The sequence below is a fragment of the Homo sapiens genome, chromosome 7 (assembly GCF_000001405.40).
Source record: "Homo sapiens chromosome 7, GRCh38.p14 Primary Assembly".
NCBI lineage: Eukaryota > Metazoa > Chordata > Mammalia > Primates > Hominidae > Homo > Homo sapiens.
In genome coordinates, this window is record NC_000007.14 from 22723930 (window position 1) to 22740425 (window position 16496).

General features: G+C 41.9%; 1 protein-coding gene and 1 long non-coding RNA gene across 5 annotated transcripts, besides 2 other annotated features; one reads left to right on the top strand and one right to left on the bottom strand.

The window, feature by feature from the left end:
- On the bottom strand, positions 1466-3691 carry IL6-AS1 (IL6 antisense RNA 1). The gene is made up of 2 exons (NR_131935.1): positions 3639-3691; positions 1466-2776 (listed from the first exon to the last, which is right to left on the bottom strand). It is a non-coding gene; the product is annotated as an IL6 antisense RNA 1 (long non-coding RNA).
- Positions 2686-2735: a silencer, noted in NCBI's record as "silent region_18003". NCBI's record gives its function as "represses an Ori minimal core promoter by ATAC-STARR-seq in GM12878 lymphoblastoid cells {active_cell/tissue: GM12878}" and the evidence as "EXISTENCE:reporter gene assay evidence [ECO:0000049][PMID:35858748]".
- Positions 2721-3920: an enhancer, noted in NCBI's record as "BRD4-independent group 4 enhancer chr7:22766269-22767468 (GRCh37/hg19 assembly coordinates)". NCBI's record gives its function as "activates an origin of replication core promoter dependent on BRD2, P300/CBP, MED14 and CDK7 cofactors, and independent of BRD4, by STARR-seq in HCT116 cells {active_cell/tissue: HCT116}" and the evidence as "EXISTENCE:reporter gene assay evidence [ECO:0000049][PMID:35650434]".
- On the top strand, positions 3271-8069 carry IL6 (interleukin 6). Of its 4 annotated transcripts, none has more exons than NM_000600.5 (5): positions 3271-3352; positions 3515-3705; positions 4764-4877; positions 5585-5731; positions 7477-8069. In NM_000600.5, the coding sequence occupies exons 1-5, from the start codon at positions 3334-3336 to the stop codon at positions 7642-7644; spliced, it is 639 nt and encodes a 212-aa protein (NP_000591.1). In that variant the 5' UTR covers positions 3271-3333; the 3' UTR covers positions 7645-8069. The 4 variants fall into 4 exon arrangements, with proteins under 4 accessions (NP_000591.1, NP_001358025.1, NP_001305024.1 ...); NM_001371096.1 differs by having other exon boundaries at positions 3584-3705; NM_001318095.2 differs by lacking the exon at positions 3515-3705.

The window sequence follows — 16496 nt, forward strand, 5'->3', positions numbered from 1 at the left end:
ATAAATGCTGACAGCACAGCCTTTTCTGGTCACGTATTCATACTAAAATACGGGGGAGAGTTGGGGGGAGAGGGGGATATATGGGAAATCTCTGTACCTTCCTCTCCATTTTGCTATGACCTAAAGCTGCCCTTTAAAAAATACAAGGGGCTGGGCACAGTGGTTCACGCCTGTAAACCCAGCACTTTGGGAGGCCGAGGCGCGTGGATCACCTGAGGTCAGGAGTTCAAGACCCGCCTGGCCAACATGGCAAAACCCCGTTTCTACTAAAAATACAAAAAGTAGCTGGGCGTGGTCGCATGCATCTGTAGTCCCAGCTACTCAGGAGGCTGAGGCAAGAGAATTGCTTGAACCTGGGAGGCGGCGGTTGAAGTGAGCCAAGATCATGCCATTGCCCTCCAGCCTGGGCAACAGAGCAAGACTCCTTCTCAAGAGAAAAAACAAAACAAAACAAGAAAAAACAAAGAATGAGCTCTCCACGCGAAAAATCCATTGAGATGCAAAGGAAGGAAGCTATCATTGTGGAATTGCACATGTCAGTTACATTAACGTTTTTGGAGCAAGGTAGAGCTCATCTCTCCCACAAGCAAATTCCAGCCCAAAGCATTGATACTAATAAAGTGCCATGCTGCGATGTGCAGGGGGCAGACAGTGTCTCCAAGCTCCCTACACACATGCCTTCCCACAGTTTGCCCTTTCTTGACCCCAGAAGCATCAGGCCCCTTCACCCTCGAGGGCCACTATCAGGAGTTTGAATTAATGGCAATCACCATGCACAGGGAAGGCTGTGGAATTCTGACATAAAAACACTTAGTGGAGGGCTTGGAAAAAGTCTAGTAGGAGCAAGACGCAAGCTGGACTAATTATCTAAAACAAGAGACCTGGTTTGGGGATCTTAATGTTCTCAAAAAAGAAAATTATTATTATTTTTCATTTTGCACTTTGTGCCATAAAACATTTTCAACAAAACATAGAATCTCATTTCTTTTGAGGGAAAATGATTGGGAGACCAGCTCATTGCTGGCACAGAGGCCTGGTTCATTCATAATTCCTTCATAGGCAAGACACCAGGTGAACCGATATAGCCGAGCTGGAAGAGCTCTCCAAGGCAGAGACTCTGAGCCAAGGAATGTTCAAAGAGCTAGCATGTATTGTGGGATTACTATGCGCCAGGAATTTTTTACACTGCATCACGTTCCATCTTCACAACAGCCCTAGAAAGGAAGAACTATTATTACCCCCGTTTTATAGGTGAATAAACAAGGGCACAGGTCCTTGATGTAACAGCCAGGATCAAACAGCTGGGAAGACGAGAAAACCTTTCCCAGGCTAGGATAACAGAGGATTTGGTTGAAAATACAGGCAATTAGGTGCTACCTCTGGGAAAAGGGGCCAGGAGAGGAAGGAGACACTTTTCCCTGCATGCCCTGATGTCCTATTTGAACATTTTATCATGAACACGAACTTCCTATTTAAAAAACACTTTTTATTGAAAAGATAAATCTGTGTGTTGTATTGTGTCACTCAGTTCAAGTACTTGAAATTTATTGAATTGTATTTTCTAAAAAATAGATAGTTGAGTAAAAGCAAGCTCACATTACATAGACGGATCACAGTGCACGGCTGCGGAGCTGGGAGCAGTGGCTTCGTTTCATGCAGGAAAGAGAACTTGGTTCAGGAGTGTCTACGTTGCTTAAGACAGGAGAGCACTAAAAATGAAACCATCCAGCCATCCTCCCCCATTTTCATTTTCACACCAAAGAATCCCACCGCGGCAGAGGACCACCGTCTCTGTTTAGACAATCGGTGAAGAATGGATGACCTCACTTTCCCCAACAGGCGGGTCCTGAAATGTTATGCACGAAACAAAACTTGAGTAAATGCCCAACAGAGGTCACTGTTTTATCGATCTTGAAGAGATCTCTTCTTAGCAAAGCAAAGAAACCGATTGTGAAGGTAACACCATGTTTGGTAAATAAGTGTTTTGGTGTTGTGCAAGGGTCTGGTTTCAGCCTGAAGCCATCTCAGAGCTGTCTGGGTCTCTGGAGACTGGAGGGACAACCTAGTCTAGAGCCCATTTGCATGAGACCAAGGATCCTCCTGCAAGAGACACCATCCTGAGGGAAGAGGGCTTCTGAACCAGCTTGACCCAATAAGAAATTCTTGGGTGCCGACGCGGAAGCAGATTCAGAGCCTAGAGCCGTGCCTGCGTCCGTAGTTTCCTTCTAGCTTCTTTTGATTTCAAATCAAGACTTACAGGGAGAGGGAGCGATAAACACAAACTCTGCAAGATGCCACAAGGTCCTCCTTTGACATCCCCAACAAAGAGGTGAGTAGTATTCTCCCCCTTTCTGCCCTGAACCAAGTGGGCTTCAGTAATTTCAGGGCTCCAGGAGACCTGGGGCCCATGCAGGTGCCCCAGTGAAACAGTGGTGAAGAGACTCAGTGGCAATGGGGAGAGCACTGGCAGCACAAGGCAAACCTCTGGCACAGAGAGCAAAGTCCTCACTGGGAGGATTCCCAAGGGGTCACTTGGGAGAGGGCAGGGCAGCAGCCAACCTCCTCTAAGTGGGCTGAAGCAGGTGAAGAAAGTGGCAGAAGCCACGCGGTGGCAAAAAGGAGTCACACACTCCACCTGGAGACGCCTTGAAGTAACTGCACGAAATTTGAGGATGGCCAGGCAGTTCTACAACAGCCGCTCACAGGGAGAGCCAGAACACAGAAGAACTCAGATGACTGGTAGTATTACCTTCTTCATAATCCCAGGCTTGGGGGGCTGCGATGGAGTCAGAGGAAACTCAGTTCAGAACATCTTTGGTTTTTACAAATACAAATTAACTGGAACGCTAAATTCTAGCCTGTTAATCTGGTCACTGAAAAAAAATTTTTTTTTTTTCAAAAAACATAGCTTTAGCTTATTTTTTTTCTCTTTGTAAAACTTCGTGCATGACTTCAGCTTTACTCTTTGTCAAGACATGCCAAAGTGCTGAGTCACTAATAAAAGAAAAAAAGAAAGTAAAGGAAGAGTGGTTCTGCTTCTTAGCGCTAGCCTCAATGACGACCTAAGCTGCACTTTTCCCCCTAGTTGTGTCTTGCCATGCTAAAGGACGTCACATTGCACAATCTTAATAAGGTTTCCAATCAGCCCCACCCGCTCTGGCCCCACCCTCACCCTCCAACAAAGATTTATCAAATGTGGGATTTTCCCATGAGTCTCAATATTAGAGTCTCAACCCCCAATAAATATAGGACTGGAGATGTCTGAGGCTCATTCTGCCCTCGAGCCCACCGGGAACGAAAGAGAAGCTCTATCTCCCCTCCAGGAGCCCAGCTATGAACTCCTTCTCCACAAGTAAGTGCAGGAAATCCTTAGCCCTGGAACTGCCAGCGGCGGTCGAGCCCTGTGTGAGGGAGGGGTGTGTGGCCCAGGGAGGGCTGGCGGGCGGCCAGCAGCAGAGGCAGGCTCCCAGCTGTGCTGTCAGCTCACCCCTGCGCTCGCTCCCCTCCGGCACAGGCGCCTTCGGTCCAGTTGCCTTCTCCCTGGGGCTGCTCCTGGTGTTGCCTGCTGCCTTCCCTGCCCCAGTACCCCCAGGAGAAGATTCCAAAGATGTAGCCGCCCCACACAGACAGCCACTCACCTCTTCAGAACGAATTGACAAACAAATTCGGTACATCCTCGACGGCATCTCAGCCCTGAGAAAGGAGGTGGGTAGGCTTGGCGATGGGGTTGAAGGGCCCGGTGCGCATGCGTTCCCCTTGCCCCTGCGTGTGGCCGGGGGCTGCCTGCATTAGGAGGTCTTTGCTGGGTTCTAGAGCACTGTAGATTTGAGGCCAACGGGGCCGACTAGACTGACTTCTGTATTTATCCTTTGCTGGTGTCAGGAAGTTCCTTTCCTTTCTGGAAAATGCAGAATGGGTCTGAAATCCATGCCCACCTTTGGCATGAGCTGAGGGTTATTGCTTCTCAGGGCTTCCTTTTCCCTTTCCAAAAAATTAGGTCTGTGAAGCTCCTTTTTGTCCCCCGGGCTTTGGAAGGACTAGAAAAGTGCCACCTGAAAGGCATGTTCAGCTTCTCAGAGCAGTTGCAGTACTTTTTGGTTATGTAAACTCAATGGCTAGGATTCCTCAAAGCCATTCCAGCTAAGATTCATACCTCAGAGCCCACCAAAGTGGCAAATCATAAATAGGTTAAAGCATCTCCCCACTTTCAATGCAAGGTATTTTGGTCCTGTTTGGTAGAAAGAAAAGAACACAGGAGGGGAGATTGGGAGCCCACACTCGAATTCTGGTTCTGCCAAACCAGCCTTGTGATCTTGGGTAAATTCCCTACCACCTCTGGACTCCATCAGTAAAATTGGGCGTGGACTAGGTGATCTCATAGATCCTTCCTGCTGGAACATTCTATGGCTTGAATTATATTCTCCTAATTATTGTCAAAATTGCTGTTATTAAGTATCTACTGTGTGCCAGGCACTTTAAATAAATATTGTGTCTAATCTTCAAAACAAATTTGCAAGGAAGGTTTTTGGAGATAAGGAAACTGAGACTCAGGATTAAGTAACACACCTAAAGTCACAGGTGAGCTTGGAACTGAACCCAAGTGTGCCCCCACTCCACTGGAATTTGCTTGCCAGGATGCCAATGAGTTGTAGCTTCATTTTTCTTAGAGACTTTCCTGGCTGTGGTTGAACAATGAAAAGGCCCTCTAGTGGTGTTTGTTTTAGGGACACTTAGGTGATAACAATTCTGGTATTCTTTCCCAGACATGTAACAAGAGTAACATGTGTGAAAGCAGCAAAGAGGCACTGGCAGAAAACAACCTGAACCTTCCAAAGATGGCTGAAAAAGATGGATGCTTCCAATCTGGATTCAATGAGGTACCAACTTGTCGCACTCACTTTTCACTATTCCTTAGGCAAAACTTCTCCCTCTTGCATGCAGTGCCTGTATACATATAGATCCAGGCAGCAACAAAAAGTGGGTAAATGTAAAGAATGTTATGTAAATTTCATGAGGAGGCCAACTTCAAGCTTTTTTAAAGGCAGTTTATTCTTGGACAGGTATGGCCAGAGATGGTGCCACTGTGGTGAGATTTTAACAACTGTCAAATGTTTAAAACTCCCACAGGTTTAATTAGTTCATCCTGGGAAAGGTACTCTCAGGGCCTTTTCCCTCTCTGGCTGCCCCTGGCAGGGTCCAGGTCTGCCCTCCCTCCCTGCCCAGCTCATTCTCCACAGTGAGATAACCTGCACTGTCTTCTGATTATTTTATAAAAGGAGGTTCCAGCCCAGCATTAACAAGGGCAAGAGTGCAGGAAGAACATCAAGGGGGACAATCAGAGAAGGATCCCCATTGCCACATTCTAGCATCTGTTGGGCTTTGGATAAAACTAATTACATGGGGCCTCTGATTGTCCAGTTATTTAAAATGGTGCTGTCCAATGTCCCAAAACATGCTGCCTAAGAGGTACTTGAAGTTCTCTAGAGGAGCAGAGGGAAAAGATGTCGAACTGTGGCAATTTTAACTTTTCAAATTGATTCTATCTCCTGGCGATAACCAATTTTCCCACCATCTTTCCTCTTAGGAGACTTGCCTGGTGAAAATCATCACTGGTCTTTTGGAGTTTGAGGTATACCTAGAGTACCTCCAGAACAGATTTGAGAGTAGTGAGGAACAAGCCAGAGCTGTGCAGATGAGTACAAAAGTCCTGATCCAGTTCCTGCAGAAAAAGGTGGGTGTGTCCTCATTCCCTCAACTTGGTGTGGGGGAAGACAGGCTCAAAGACAGTGTCCTGGACAACTCAGGGATGCAATGCCACTTCCAAAAGAGAAGGCTACACGTAAACAAAAGAGTCTGAGAAATAGTTTCTGATTGTTATTGTTAAATCTTTTTTTGTTTGTTTGGTTGGTTGGCTCTCTTCTGCAAAGGACATCAATAACTGTATTTTAAACTATATATTAACTGAGGTGGATTTTAACATCAATTTTTAATAGTGCAAGAGATTTAAAACCAAAGGCGGGGGGGCGGGCAGAAAAAAGTGCATCCAACTCCAGCCAGTGATCCACAGAAACAAAGACCAAGGAGCACAAAATGATTTTAAGATTTTAGTCATTGCCAAGTGACATTCTTCTCACTGTGGTTGTTTCAATTCTTTTTCCTACCTTTTACCAGAGAGTTAGTTCAGAGAAATGGTCAGAGACTCAAGGGTGGAAAGAGGTACCAAAGGCTTTGGCCACCAGTAGCTGGCTATTCAGACAGCAGGGAGTAGACTTGCTGGCTAGCATGTGGAGGAGCCAAAGCTCAATAAGAAGGGGCCTAGAATGAAACCCTTGGTGCTGATCCTGCCTCTGCCATTTCTACTTAAGCCAGGGTTTCTCATATGTTAACATGCATGGGAATTCCCTGGGCATCTTCTTGTGGTGTGGAGTCTGACTTAGCAAGCCTCGGGTGGGTTTGAGGGTCAAATTTCTACCAGGCTTATATCCCTGGTGATGCTGCAGAATTCCAGGACCACACTTGGAGGTTTAAGGCCTTCCACAAGTTACTTATCCCATATGGTGGGTCTATGGAAAGGTGTTTCCCAGTCCTCTTTACACCACCGGATCAGTGGTCTTTCAACAGATCCTAAAGGGATGGTGAGAGGGAAACTGGAGAAAAGTATCAGATTTAGAGGCCACTGAAGAACCCATATTAAAATGCCTTTAAGTATGGGCTCTTCATTCATATACTAAATATGAACTATGTGCCAGGCATTATTTCATATGACAGAATACAAACAAATAAGATAGTGATGCTGGTCAGGCTTGGTGGCTCATGCCTGTATTCCCTAAACTTTGGGAGCCTAAGGTGAGAACTCCTTGAACTCCTAAGGCCAGGAGTTCAAGACCAGCCTGGATAACATAGCAAGACCCCATCTCTACAAAAAACCAAAACCAAACAAACAAAAATGATAGTGGTGCTTCCCTCAGGATGCTTGTGGTCTAATGGGAGACAGAACAGCAAAGGGATGATTAGAAGTTGGTTGCTGTGAGCCAGGCACAGTGCTGATATAATCCCAGCGCTATGGGAGGCTGAGGTGGGTGGATCATTTGAGGCCAGGAGTTTAAGACCAGCCTGGTCAACATGGTAAAACCCCATCTCTACTTAAAAATACAAAAAAGTTAGCCAGGCATGGTGGCATACACCTGTAACCCAGCTACTCAGGAGGCTGAGGCACATGAATCACTTGAACCCAGGAGGCAGAGGTTGCTGTGCACCACTGCACTCCAGCCTGGGTGACAGAACGAGACCTTGACTCAAAAAAAAAAAAAAGAAGTTTGTTGCTATGGAAGGGTCCTACTCAGAGCAGGCACCCCAGTTAATCTCATTCACCCCACATTTCACATTTGAACATCATCCCATAGCCCAGAGCATCCCTCCACTGCAAAGGATTTATTCAACATTTAAACAATCCTTTTTACTTTCATTTTCCTTCAGGCAAAGAATCTAGATGCAATAACCACCCCTGACCCAACCACAAATGCCAGCCTGCTGACGAAGCTGCAGGCACAGAACCAGTGGCTGCAGGACATGACAACTCATCTCATTCTGCGCAGCTTTAAGGAGTTCCTGCAGTCCAGCCTGAGGGCTCTTCGGCAAATGTAGCATGGGCACCTCAGATTGTTGTTGTTAATGGGCATTCCTTCTTCTGGTCAGAAACCTGTCCACTGGGCACAGAACTTATGTTGTTCTCTATGGAGAACTAAAAGTATGAGCGTTAGGACACTATTTTAATTATTTTTAATTTATTAATATTTAAATATGTGAAGCTGAGTTAATTTATGTAAGTCATATTTATATTTTTAAGAAGTACCACTTGAAACATTTTATGTATTAGTTTTGAAATAATAATGGAAAGTGGCTATGCAGTTTGAATATCCTTTGTTTCAGAGCCAGATCATTTCTTGGAAAGTGTAGGCTTACCTCAAATAAATGGCTAACTTATACATATTTTTAAAGAAATATTTATATTGTATTTATATAATGTATAAATGGTTTTTATACCAATAAATGGCATTTTAAAAAATTCAGCAACTTTGAGTGTGTCACGTGAAGCTTAATATAAACAAGTTTCTTGTCACTGCCACCACCACGACCAAAAAAAGCTAATCAATCACTATATATAATACATATATATACTATATATAATAAATATATATACTATATATAATACATATATACACTATATATAATACATATATACTATATATACACATATATACTATATATACACATATATATTATGAATGTATATATATAGTATATATAGTATATATACTATGTATGTATATATATAGTATATATAGTATATATACTATGTATGTGTATATATAGTATATATAGTATATATAGTATATATACTATGTATGTATATATATAGTATATATAGTATATATACTGTGTATGTATATATATAGTATATATATACTATATATGCATACATAGTATATATGCATATATACTATATATACTATATATTTATATATACTATATACTATATATACTATATACTGTATATATACTATATATGTATGTATACGATATATATATATACTATATATGTACACACACACATATATATATACATATAAGCACCTACTACATGCCAGGCATCATTAAATGTGTTGCATCCATCACGTCATTTAACCCCAGCACTTGCACACTCCTTTCTGGTTGTGGAAGACTAAGTAATTTATCTAAGTCACCCAGCTGGAAGGTCAGGCAGGGACCCAGATTTGAAATCCAAGTCTACCTACCTACAGGTCCCCTACTCTTAACCTGTAGGTCCCACTGCCTACCCAGGAACTGAGGGATGATGTAGAAAATCCCAAAACATGTTAATATAGGGAATACCTATAAACATGCAATCAAAGTCTTTGGGACTATACAACCACTGTATAAAGCATAACAATGTACAAGCTTCCAAACAATAACTAGAAGTTCTGCCTCCCTCTTCTGGGTTCCTAAAGCACTGCACCTATCTACCTGTCAAAGCATCTACCACATTGTACCACACCTTAAAATCAATGGTTTTTTTCTTCTCAGCCAGCATGTGGATGCCTCAATAAAGCAGACTCCTTTCATGACCTAAAACTAATTTCAGGGGGGAAAAAAAGACGAGCTGGGCGCAGTGGCTCACGCCTATAATCCCAGCACTTTGGGAGGCTGAGGCGGGAGGATCACTTGAGGTCAGAAGACCAGCCTGGCCAACATGGCAAAACCCCGTCTCTACTAAAAATACAAAAATTAGCTGGGCGTGGTGGCGCACCTATAATCCCAGCTACTCAGGAAGCTGAGACATGATAATCGCTTGAGCCTGGGAGGTAGAGCCTGGGGCTGCACTCCATCCTGGGCAACAGAGGGAGATTCTGTCTCAAAAAATAATAATAATAATATAAATAAATAAATAATTTTTTTAAAAAAAGACTCTTTCCTATATTAATCTTTGCATCCTGTGCCCATGGCCCCAAACCTGACCAATGAAGGCCCCAGTAAATATTTTTTGAACAAAAGAAAATATAGATGATCAAAGATAAGAAAGATAAGAAGACACCTCAATTCTTGTAGGCATATAGTGGTAGGGGAAATCACTAATTCTGTGTGTTTATGTATCTTCATCTTCAGGAAAAATAGCAAGAATTAGAAAGAAACACTCAAAGGACTTCCAGAGAAGGCAATGAATAGCCAGTGCATGTACACCTACCTCCATTTCCTTTGCCACTGGCAATAATCTTCATCTGCCCTCTCCCCTCCCCGACCTAAAGTGGTAGTGAGAGAGGCAATCTGGACAACTTAACATGGCCTCGTTTATCCATCTCAACACGACACTGGGAATTTGGTGCAGATTTCCCCTTTCTAACCCCTGCAATATAAAAGTTCTGTCTCCTTATAAAGCTTTTCCCCATTCTACCCGCTACAGACTTCTTCCTCCAGGGGAGGAGTTCTTCTGGGTAAGGGAAAGTCCACAGAGGTCAAAAACCGAGAGGAGCTGAGCCAGAAAAGAGCCACATACTCTGATTTCTAGAAACCACGCATCACAAGTGGGCTTCCCAAAACTAGGGTCAAGTCAAAGAACAAAGAGAAATTGCGATCAACTGATGCTTTCATTCTTCAAACAAAAATGGGTTGAGTTTCATAGATAAGTCAGGGAAAGCTCCTGAGAAAGAGGTGAAAGGGTAGACATGATCCCTGCCCTCTTGTGTAGCACACTATGGAAGGGAAAATAGACATTAAATAAAGACTATAAATGTGATAAGGTTTCCAAAAAGAAATGTGGGCTGTGCTGAGAACCCATACTAGAGGCACGGATAATCTAAGTGAACCCTGGTTTGGCTGCTCACCACTCGAAAGCCAGACATGAGAGACAAGGTTGGTGGGAGGAAAAGCCAGTTCATCAGAAAGCCAGTAAACCAAGAAGATGGTGAGCTAGTATTTTAAAGTACCATCTTGAATTTTAAAATTTATCACAGTAGTTTTTAAAGAGAAACTTGGTATGGGAGATACGTGGGAGTGGTGCGTGGTGTAGGGTCTGTGTGTCTTGTTCTGATGGCTATCTCAGGTAACCGCCTGTCCGGAGGTCTGTTTGGGATCATCTTAACTTCAGCTAGATGATGGATTCATTGTTCATGATTCCTTCTAACCAGGAGGATTCTGCAATGGGGGCTCCTTGCCTCGTTTGTTTAAAGATCAGCCTCTGGGATTTTTAAAGCAAGAGTATAATTAGATAAGCATACATTGCCAGAGGGGAGTGTCTAGAGAGGGAAGGAATGAAGAGGTGAGAGGAAAGAAAAGGAAGAAAAAGAAAGTGGGTAAGAGGCAGAGCAAGATGGCAGAATAGAAAGCTCCACCAATGGACCCCCTGGCAAGGATACAAAGTTAACAACTATCTGCACAGAAAAACAAACAAACAAAAAACACCTTCATAAGAATCAGAACTCAGGTGAGCACACATAGTACCTGGTTTTAACTTCATATCACTGAAACAGGCACTGAAGAAATTAAAAAACAGTCCTGAATCACAATGCTACCCCTCCCCTATCCACAGCAGCAGTGGTGTGGTGCGGAGAATGTCTCTGGGTGCTGGGAGAAGGAGAACACATCAATTGTGGGGCACTGAACTCAGTACTGTCCTGTTAGAGGAGAAAGGAAAACCAGACTAAACTTAGCTGATGTCCACTCACAGAGGGAGCATTTAAACCATCCCTAGCCCAAGAGGAATTGTCAATCCCCAGCAGTCCAAACTTGAGTAGCCGCAAAACTCTCCACTGAGGGCCAAACTTGAAAGGCAGTCTAGGCCATAAGGACTGCAACTCTTAGGCAAGTACTAGGGCTCAACAAGGCCCGGAGACCTAGTGGACTGAGGGGACATGTGACATACCGAGATACCAGCTGAGGCAGCCAAGGGAGTATTGGCTTCACCCCTCTCCTAATCCTAGGCTGCACAAGTCATAGCTTCAAAAGAGACTTTTTCTTTCTGCTTGAGGAGAGAAGACAGAAGAGTGGGGAGGACTTGGCCTTACCTCTTGGATACCAGCTCAGCTACAGCAGGATAGGGCACTAGTCAGAGTCATAAGGCCCGTATTCCAGACCCAAGCTCCAAGACAACATTTCTAGACACATCCTAGACTAGAAGGGAACCCACTGCCTTGAATGAAAGGACCCAGTCCTGGCAGCATTCATCACATGCTAACTGAAAAGCCCTTGGGCCCTGAATAACCAGTAGCGATCCCCAGGTACTACATCGAGGGCCTTAGGTGAGCCTCTGAGACTTGCTGGCTTCAGGTGAGATTCAGCACATTACCACCTATGGTGGCTATGGGGCAAAACTCCTCCTGCTTGGGAAAAGCAGAGGGAAAAGTAAACGGGGCTGTATCTTGTTGCACCTTAGGTACCAACACCACCACAAGGGGGTAGAGCACCAGGTGGGATCTTGGGGTCCCTGATTCCAAGCTTTGACTCATGAGTGGCATTTCTGGACCTGCCCTGTGCCAGAGAGAGGCCTATTGCCCTGAAGGGTGAGTCTCAGGCCAGGCAGCATTCACCACAAGCTGACTTAAAAGACCTAAGGCCTTAAGGGAACATCCATGGTGGTCTGGTAGCACTTCTTAAGGCCACTGGGGAGCAGGGTGGGCAGTAGCTACAGGGTGAGGGTTCTCTGCTTCTGAAAAGGGGAGGGAAGAGTGGGAAGGACTGCATCTTGTGGGTTGAGTGTCTGCTCAGTCACAAGACAATAGACTACAAGGTAGACTTCTAAGTTTTTTACTCTGGTCCCTAACTCCCAGATGGCACTTCTGGACCTACCCTGGGGACCTCATCACCCTGAAAGAAAGGACACAGGCCTGGCTGGCTTTGCCATCTGCTGATTATTGAGCCCCAGGGCCTTCAGCAAACATAGGCAGTAGCCAGAGAGTGGTTACAGCAGGCCTCGGGTAAGACCCAGTGCTGTGCTGGCTTCAGGTGTGACCCAGTGCAGTCACAGTGGTGGTGGCCACATGGGTGCTTGTGTCATTTCACCCCCAGCTTTAGGTGGCTCAGAACAGAAAGAGAGATTCTGTATGTATGTTTGGGAGAAAGTAAAAGAGGAGAACAAGAGGCTCTGCCTGGTAATCCAGAGAATTCTCTCAGATCCTGTCTAAGGCTATCAAGGCAGTACCTCTATGAATCTGCAAGAACCACAGCATTCCTGGGTGGGAGGTGCCCCCTAAAGAAGAAACAGCTTAGATTACAACACCCAAATCCTTTCAAATACCTGGAAATCCTTCCCAAGAAGGATAGCTACAAATAAGCCCAGACAATGAAGACTACAATAAATATCTAACTCTTCAATGCCCAGACATCAAAGAACATCTACTAGCATCAACACTATCCAGGAAAACGTGACCACACCAGATGAACTAAATAAGTCACCAGAAACCAATCCTAGAGAAACAGAGATATGTGACCTTTCAGACAGAGAATTCAAAATAGCTATTTGAGGAAAGTCAAAGAATTCAAGATACACAGAGAAGGAATTCAGAATTTTGTCAGACAAACTTAGCAAAGAGATTGAAATAATTTTGAGAAATCAAGCAGAAGTTATGGAGCTGAAAAATGCAATTGGCATAATGAAGAATGCATCAGAGTCCTTTAATAGCAGAATTGATCAAGCAGAAGAAAGAATTAGTGAACTTGAAGACAAGCTATTTGAAAATACATAGTCAGAGGAGACAAAAGAAAAAGAATAAAAAACTATGAAGCACAACTATGGGATCTAGAAAACAGCCTCAAATGGGTAAGTTTAAGAGTTATTGGACTTAAAGAGGAGGTAGAGAAAGAGATGGGGTAGAAAGCTTATTCAGAGGGAAAATAACAGAGAACTTCTCAAACATAGAGAAAGATATTAATATCCAAGCACAAGAAGATTATAGAACACCAAGCAGATTTAACCCAAAAAAAGCCTACCTCAAGGCATTTCATAATCCAACTCCCAAAGGTAAAGAATAAAGAAAGGACCCTAAAAGCAGCAAGAAAAAACAAGTAAATAGCATACAATGGCACTCCAAGACATCTAGCAGCAGACTATTCAGTGGAAACCTTACAGGCCAGGAGAGAGTGGCATGACATATTTAAAGTGCTGGAAAAACAAAACAAAACAAAAACCTTTCACCCTAGAATAGTATATCCAGCAAAAATATCCTTCAAACATATAGAAGAAATAGACTTTTTCAGACAAACAAAAGCTGAGGGATTTCATAAATAACCGATCTGTCCTACAAGAAATGCTAAATGGAGTACTACAGTCAGAAAGAAAAGGACATTAATGAGCAATAAATAATCACCTGAAGGTATAAAACTTACTGGTAATAGTAAGTGCATAGATAAACACAGAATGTGATAACACTGTAACTGCTATATGTAAACCACTCTTAAAAAGTTAAAAAGCTGGGGGACAAAGTTAAGAGTTTTTATTAGTTTTCTTTTTGCTTGTTTGTTTGTTTATGCAAATAGTGTTGTTGTTACCACGTTAAAATAATGGATTATAAGATAGTATTTGCAAGCCTCATGGTAACCTCAAACCAAAAAACATACAATTGATACCCAAAAAATAAGAAGCAAGAAACTAAATCATATCACCAGAGAAAATTATCTTTACTAGAGGCAGACAGGAATGAAAGAAAGAAGGAAGAGAAGACCACAAAACAACCAGAAAACAAATAACAAAATGGCAGTAGTAAGTCCTTACTTATCAATAATAACGTTGAATGTAAATGAACTAAACTCTTCAATCTTCAGACACAGACTGGCTGAATGGATGAAAAAAAGCCATTGATCCATTGCCTGCAAGAAACACACTTCATCTATAAAGACACACATAGACTGAAAATAAAGGAGTGGAAAAAGATATTCCATGCCAATGGAAACAAAAAAAGCAAGAGTTGTTATATCAGACAAAATAGACTTCAAGACAAAAACCATAAGACGAGACAAAGAAGGTCACTATTAATGATAAAATGATATATTTGACAAAAAGATATAACAATTTTAAATATATATGCACCCAACACTGGAGCACCCAGATATATAAAGGAAATATTATTAGAGCTAAAGAGAGAGATAGGTCCTAATACAATAATAGCTGGAAACATCAATACCCCACTTTCAGCATTGGGCAGATCTTCCAGACAGAAAATCAATAAAGAAACATCAGATTTAATCTGCACTATTGACCAAATGTATCTAACAGATATTTACAGAACATTTTATCCAAGAGCTGCAGAAAACACATTTTCCTCAGTACATGGATCGTTCTCAAGGATAGACCATATGTTAGGTCAGAAAACAAGTCTTAAAATATTTTTTAAAAATTGAAATAATATCAAGCATCTTCTCTGACCACAATGGAATAAAACTAGAAAGTAATAACTAGAGGAATTTTGGAAACTATACAAACACATAGAAATTAAACAATATGCTCCTGAATGACCAGTGGGTCAATGAAGACATTAAGAAGGGAATTGAAAAATTTAGTGATAATGGAAACACAACATACCCAAACCCATGGGATACAGCAAAAGCAGTACTAAGAGTGAAGTTTATAGCTATAAGTGCCTACATCACAAAAGAGGAAAAACTTCAAATAAACAATCTAATGATGTATCTTAAAGAACTAAAAAAGCAAGAGCAAACCAAACTCAAAATTTATATCAAAACAAATAAAGATCAGAACAGAAATAAATGAAATTAAAATTAAAAAAAAGATCAATGAAACAAAAAGTTAAAAAAAAAAAAGTTAAACAAAATTGACAAACCTTTAACCAAACTAAGGAAAAAGAGAGATCCAAATAAATAAAATCAGAAATAAAAAAGGAGACATTACAACTGATACTGCAGAAATTCAAAGGATCATTTGTGGCTACTATAACTAACTGTAAGCCAGTAAATTGAAAAATCTAGAGGAAATGGACAAATACTGAGATACATACAACCTACCAAGACTGAACCAGTAATAAATTGAAAACCTGAACAGATTAGTAACAAGTAATGAGATTGAAGCTGTAATAAAAAGTCACCCAGTAAAGAAAAGCCAAAGATCTAATGGCTTCACCGCTGAATTCTATGAAACATTTAGAAAAGAACTAATACCAATCCTACTCATACTATTCCAAAAAATACAGGAGGAAAAAATACTTTCAAATTCATTCTACAAAGCCCGTATTACCCTGATACCAAAACCAGGCAAAGACACATCAAAAAAGAAAACTACAGGCCAATATCTCTGATGAATGTTGATGCAAAAATCCTCAAAAAATACTAGCAAAAATACTAGCATTCTAATTCAACAATACGTTAGAAAGGTCATTCCTCATGACCAAATGGGATTTATCCCTGGGATGCAAGGATGGATCAACATATGTAGATTAATCAACATGATACATCCTATCAACAGAATGAAGGATAAAAACCACAGGATCATTTCACTTAATGCTGAAAAAGCATTTGATAAAATTCAACATTCCTTCGTGATAAAAACTCTTAAAAAAATGAGGACAGAAGAAACATACCCAAGCATAATAAAAGCCATATATGACAGACCCACAGCTAATATCATACTGAATGGGGAGAAACAGAATGCATTTCCTCTGAGATCTGGAACATGACAAGGATGCCCACTGCCACCACTGTTATTTAGCATAGTTCTGAAAGTCCTAGCTAGAGCAATCAGACAAAAGAAAGTTATGAAGGGCATCCAAGTTATGAAGGGCATTCCTGAAAAGGAAGAAGTTAGATTATCCTTGTTTGCAGAAGATATGATCTTATCTATGGTAAAACTTAAAGACTCTACACACAAAAAGCTATTAGAACTAATAAACAAATTCAATAAAGTTGCAGGATACAAAATCAACATACAAAAATTAGCAGCATTTCTATATTCCAACAGGGAACAATGTGAAAAAGAAATTTAAAAAAGTAATCCCATT